At 43.9% G+C, this 6000-nt stretch overlaps 1 annotated feature.

Annotated features, from left to right (window-relative positions):
* Positions 4890-5479: an enhancer, noted in NCBI's record as "OCT4-NANOG hESC enhancer chr14:99460134-99460723 (GRCh37/hg19 assembly coordinates)". NCBI's record gives its function as "activates a minimal SCP1, AML or CMV promoter by ChIP-STARR-seq in naive H9 embryonic stem cells {active_cell/tissue: H9 hESC(naive)}" and the evidence as "EXISTENCE:reporter gene assay evidence [ECO:0000049][PMID:30033119]".

The following is a 6000-nucleotide window of genomic DNA, read 5'->3' as shown; positions in this document are numbered from 1 at the left end:
CCTAGACTCCATTGGGATATTATATGTTTACTTTTGTAAAATCCAAAATATCCTGGATTCTAAACCACACTGGGCCCCAGGAATTTAAGAATAGGGATTTTGGACCAGAGCCTTCCTCTGGGATGTCAGTTAATCAACCTAGAGCAGTGATTCTCTCCAGGGTGATTTTATTCCCCAGGGAACATGTACCAATACCTGGAGACATTTTTTATGATTGTAATGTGTGTGTAGGGTTCCCACTGGCGTCTACTAGGCAGAGTCCAGGGATGCTGCCAAACATCCTACAATACCATAGGACAGACAAAGAATACTCCAGTCCCAAATGCCCATCATGCTGAGGGTGGGAAACCCTAATCCATAGAATAGTACACATTCTAGCTTTATTCTTATTTCACCACTCTGAGCTCCTCTTCCTTCATCTGCCAATTGGAGGGCATGAACAACTGCCTCCAAGAGTTCTGGGGAAACCGTATGAGACAGTAGACGTGACTGTGCCTTCTGAACTTTACCGCTCAATAGAAAAATGAAAGACAGTTTACTCATTCAAAAAATAAAGTGTCGGCTGGAGCTGGTGGCTCATGACTGTAATTCTAGCACTTTGGGAGGCCAAGGCGGGTGGATTGCTTGAGCCCAGGAGTTAGAGCAACATGGCAAAATCTGTCTCTGGAAAAAAATACAAAAAAATTAGCTGGGCGTGGTGGCACACGCCTGTGGTCCCAACTATTTGGGGGTCTGAGGTTGGGGGATCACCTGAGCTCGGGAGGTCGAGGCTGCAGTGAGCCGTGATTGCACCATTACACTCCAGCCTGGGTGACAGAGCAAGATCTTGTCTCAAAAAAACATAAAACCACCACAAAAAAGAATAAAGTGTGTTCTTTGTAACCCTGGTCTTCATGATAAACACCTGCGTATATACCATGGGTGCTAGGCAGTGTGCAAGACACGTGGAGAGGGATTCATGGTCTCCCCTTTCAGGGAACTTGTAGCCTAGTTACTCTCCTGCTAGAGGTAACCATTTATAACTTGATCTATAATTTAGATGTTCTTGAAAGCAATATTTCCTTTGACTTGTTTTAACCTTTAGACTTCCCACTTTCCGAAGAACCCCAGCCCACGCACACACACCCCTTGTTGCTAATTAGAGAACTTTGATATGCAGGAGAAAGCACTAATAAAGAACCGTAAATAGCAGGTCCTGCCTGGCTCCTGCCTCCTCTGAGCTCCTCTCATTCCAGCTGGAACCACTTCACCCCTACTTGCAGGCTTAACCCCAAAGCTAGATTTCAGGAACAGCATTGCCTATGTAGTGGGGGCCCTGGAGCAAGGAGCTCTCTACTCTGTTAGCTCAGCTTCGCGTCTTCATGGATTTAATCCACCTCCACACTTGTGGACTGTTTGTGGCCTGTGGGCTTTGGTCTTGTCCCAGGTCCTGGTCTCCTGAGTCCCAGGTTTGGAAACTGGGCTTCTTTGCTGTGGTACTTCCTGGTGACTCAGGTTGTTCCAATCCCTTTACACTTTGCCCTTCCTTGTGCTGGTATAGGCTCTCCCTGCAGATATTGGATCCTGGCTCTTAGCAACCAGTGAATGGCAGACCATTTAGATGTTGCCTGCCTGTTCCCCGACCCTGTCCTTGGGTACCTGTGACCCTGATCCTCTGTGAGGCAGGGCATTTTATGGAATAGGCCATTCTGGGATGTAGAGGTCAATTCAAACTGTTATTGCTGGAACACAGTGACTTCTGCTTGAAGGACCTTTGATTGGCCACAGTCCTTGCTATAGTGTCCTGCATTCACTCTGGTGTCTGGCCATTTCCATGCCACCTGTGCCCTGCAGAAGTTACACAAGCTCCTTGGATGTCAACCAGCCTTTTGCCTTGGCTCAGATGTTAGATACACGCATGCCAAGCTCACATATACTTCCTTAAATATGACCAGGTGTATCGGTTATTATAAGTAATACTGGTTGCTGAAATAACCAATCCTTAAACCAGCTCTCAGGAGCTACAAAATAAAAGTTGACTTATTGCTCATATCATCATCTGATGACCTTCACAAGCCTCTCCTGGGCAGATTATCTTCAAGTGGGGACTCGGGGATCCTGGTGTTTTCTACTGTGTGGCTACACTGCCTTGGATTCCTTTGCTTCCAGCCATGTGGATTGGAGGGAAAGAGACAATGAAGGTAATATGGGACTTTTTGGGGACCAGGCAGAGAACTGATGTATATGACTCTTACACCCACATTCAGTTGGCCAGAATTTAGTCACATGACCCAACCTGACTACAGTTGGGCTGGGAATTATAATCTCCCCATGCATCCTGGAAGAGGGAATGGGATTGAGGAGCCTCAAGATAATGATGGCCACAGTCCATCTTTCTGGTTGTCAAATCACTGTTTGACTTTTCCTCCTACACATAGAAGACACTCACCCCCTTCCCACGGGGAAAAACCTCAAAAGCCATCCAGTTTCCATTCAGTCTCTACATCCAGCTGAAAGTCCAGGATTTCTGAGTGCTACGTTATTCTCTACATCTGGTCTAAATGTGGCTTCTCATGAGCCAGTGACTTATGCACCACAATGACAAGCTACTTGTCCCCATACACCCAACATGAGGTGGTAGAACAAAGGCTAGGTCATTGCAATAAATACTTCCTTTAGGAAAACAGATGAGTGGAAGACATTAGCAGCCCCTGATTCATAGCAGGTCTGAGATCCTCAGCCTGGGTGTGCATTATGAAGGCTCTCTGCACCTGAGTTCTGGGGACTGTCACTGATGAAGTTCTGGTCTTGGTCTCTGAGAGAAACCCCTGGGTACATGTTTCTCTGCCGCTCCTGCCTCCATCCTTTAGGGGAGTCCCCTTGTTCATCTCTCTCCTTAGCCACCTCTAAAGTTGTTGTTGGGGGCATACTCTTCTTGGGGGCTGAGCAGCCTTTGAAGGCTGCATTCTCCTTGAGGGGAGGTTGGGGGCTTAAATGTTTTTAATCCAAATCAATTATTGATTGCCTATGATAAGCTTTTATTCATATTTTTAAAAATTGAGGTATAATTTAAGTATGGTAAAATTCACCTTTTGTGCATACTTCTGACTTTTGACAAAGACTCATAATCATGTAACCATTGCCACAATTGAGAATTAGGATAGTTCCATCACCTCCCCAAATTTCCACATCTTGTCTGTCATCAACCCCTCCCCCAACTCTAGGCCCTGGCAACCTCTGATCTGTTTTGGAATCATATAGTATGTAGCCTTTGGGTCTAACTTCTTGCACCATGCATAATGCATTTGGAATTCATCCAAGTTGTTTCCCATATCAATGAAACAGTTTATTTTTATTGCCAAGTAATATTCTAAGTATATAGATGTCACCTCTTGAAGGACATTTTTGTTGTTTCTGTTTTTTTTTTTTTTGGCTGGAAATAGAATAAAGCTGCTGTGAATAAATAGAACTTTCACATATAGGTTTTAAGTTTTCTTTTCTTTTGGGTACATGGAGAATGGAATTACTGGGTCATATTGTAAGTGTATGTTTAATTTTATGAGAAACTGCCAGTGTTTTCCAAAGCAGCAGTACCATTTTGCACGCCCACCATCAGTACACGGGAGTACCAGTTGCTTTCTGTCCTGTCAGCACCTGGTGTATGTCTTTTTCATTTTAGCCATTCTAATAAGTGTGTCGTTGTATCTCATTGTAGCTTTAATTTGCATTTCCCTAATAACTGAGCATGTGTTTATTTGACCTTTATCAATCTTATTCCAGGATCGATCTCTTCAAATCTTTTGCCCATTTTGTTATTGAATTATTTTCTTATTTTGAGTTGTGAGAGTTCTTTGTCTACTTTGAACACAAGTCCTTTCTCTGTTATGTGATTTGCAAATACTTCTTCCTAGTCTTTTGGCTTGTGTTTTACTGTTTTTCTTTCTTTCTTTCTTTTTTTTTTTTTGAGACAGAGCCTTGCTTTGTCACCCAAGCTGGAGTGCAGTGGCAAGCGACTCTCCTGCCTCAGCCTCCCAAGTAGCTGGGATTACAGGCGTCCGCCATTACTCCTGACTAATCTTTGTATTTTTAGTAGAGATGGGGTTTCATCATGCTGGCCAGGCTCATCTCGAGCTCCTAACCTCAGGTGATCTGCCTGCCTTGGCCTCCCAAAGTGTGATTACATGCGTGAGCCTCTGCACCTGGTCTGTCTTTTACTGTTTCTTAACAGTGACTTTTAAGAGCAGAGCTTTCATTTTGATGAAGTCTAATTTATCAATTTCTTTCTTAAAGGTTGTGATTTGTGATGCTGTATCTAAGAAATCTTTACCTAAGCCAAGGTCACAAAGTGTTTCTCCTGTTTTCTTCTAGAACGAAATGTGTTTTAAGTCTTGAATAGTGAAAGGCCTTTAGAACTCAGACTTTTGCTTTCCTTAGACGCATAACCCTTAAGAATTTAGTAAGCTTCTGATCCATTTGCCTGGCTCCATTCTGTGTACTGGTAGCCACACCCAAAGTCCCTTTTGAGGTGTGGTTCTCAGATGGGTTTCATTTCTTTGCTTTCTCTCCCCTGCCTTTCTCTCTCTCACTCTCTTTCGATTTACTGGTGTTTCTTTGGAGTTAAAAGGCTTGAATAGAAATGCCACACCCTTAATCTGAATCTTTGCTTCAAGTTCCTTTACCCAACTCAGAAGATTTCCTAGGCCTTTGCCCTTCAAACCTTTTAAAATCCCATTTCTGACTCCTGGGGACTTGAAGCATTTGGCTTTTCTAACCTGGCAAAATCCCAGATTTCTGGATGCTCTAATTCTCCTTCCATTCTGCTTGCAAACTGGTCAAATCTTTCCTCAGCTTATCTTTCTTTAATAGTTTTCCAGATGCACTCAAATGTAGCTGAAACATGCAGATTATGAATGCTGTGTTTTCCAACCGCTTCTCTAGAGCTGTAAGTTCAGTAGCCACAAGTTCTGCCTGCCACATAATCACAGGAAACAGTCTTAGAAAGTGCCTTTCCCTGGATAACTTAAATGTCTAGCCATCTATCCTGCAAAATCTGTTTCCTCACCTCCTGATACTTGACTGATAATCTGATGACATCTATTTTAGAATATAAAGAAATCTGCACCCCTCTTTTGTCTCCTTGTTTTGTTAATCAGGATAAGAAACAGTAGTTGCTATAACAAACAATCCAGCATTTCAGTGCCTTAACATAACAAAAGCTTACTTTTGACTTGTGTTAGAGTCCATTGAGTTTCCTCTGAGTACTGACTGGGCTTCTTCCACAGTGCAGCTCCCCTATGTCCACAGCCTTTTACCTTCAGCCACAAGGACAGAGGAAGCAGAGGGAGCATGAAGTAGCCTATAGAGTGAATTGGAGCTGGACTTGACAGGTGCCTGTGTGTCCACTCCCATTCCATTGGTCAGAACCGAGGCACATGGCCCTAACATCACTGTGAGCAACATTGGAAAGTGTAGTCTTCCTGTGTGTCCAAGAAGACAGGAGTGGTGAGAATCTCGCTGGATCCATCCTAGAACTTTTTCTGTGGCAAAGACATGGGGGTTCTCCCCTGAGTTAGATCTCTCCTGGCTCTTTTAAGGATTCTGTATTGAGTAAAACCTCAGCACCTTCTTAAAATCCATCCATTCAGTGATTTATTGGTGAGCATTTTAACCTGCCAGGCATAGTGTTTGGAAGGGAGAGGTGGGAGGGGAAGGGGGTGGTCCTAACATGTAGTAAGTAGCTTCTATGTTTCTAGCACTTGAAATGATTATTTATTTATTTATTTTTGAGATGGCGTCTTGCTCTGTTGCCCAGGCTGAAGTGTAGTGGCGTGATCTCGGCTCACTGCAACCTCTGCCTCCCGGGTTCAAGTGATTCTCCTGCCTCAGCCTCCTGAGTAGCTGGGACTACAGGTACCTGCCACCACGCCCAGCTAATTTTTGTATTTTTAGTAGAGACAGGGTTTAACTTGTTGGCCAGGCTAGTCTCGAACTCCTGACCTCAGGTGATCTGCCTGCTTCAGC

This window comes from Homo sapiens, chromosome 14, assembly GCF_000001405.40.
Source record: "Homo sapiens chromosome 14, GRCh38.p14 Primary Assembly".
In the NCBI taxonomy this organism is placed as follows: domain Eukaryota; kingdom Metazoa; phylum Chordata; class Mammalia; order Primates; family Hominidae; genus Homo; species Homo sapiens.
Note: the sequence above shows the minus strand (reverse complement) of the source record. Positions and strands in the feature narration are given on the sequence as shown.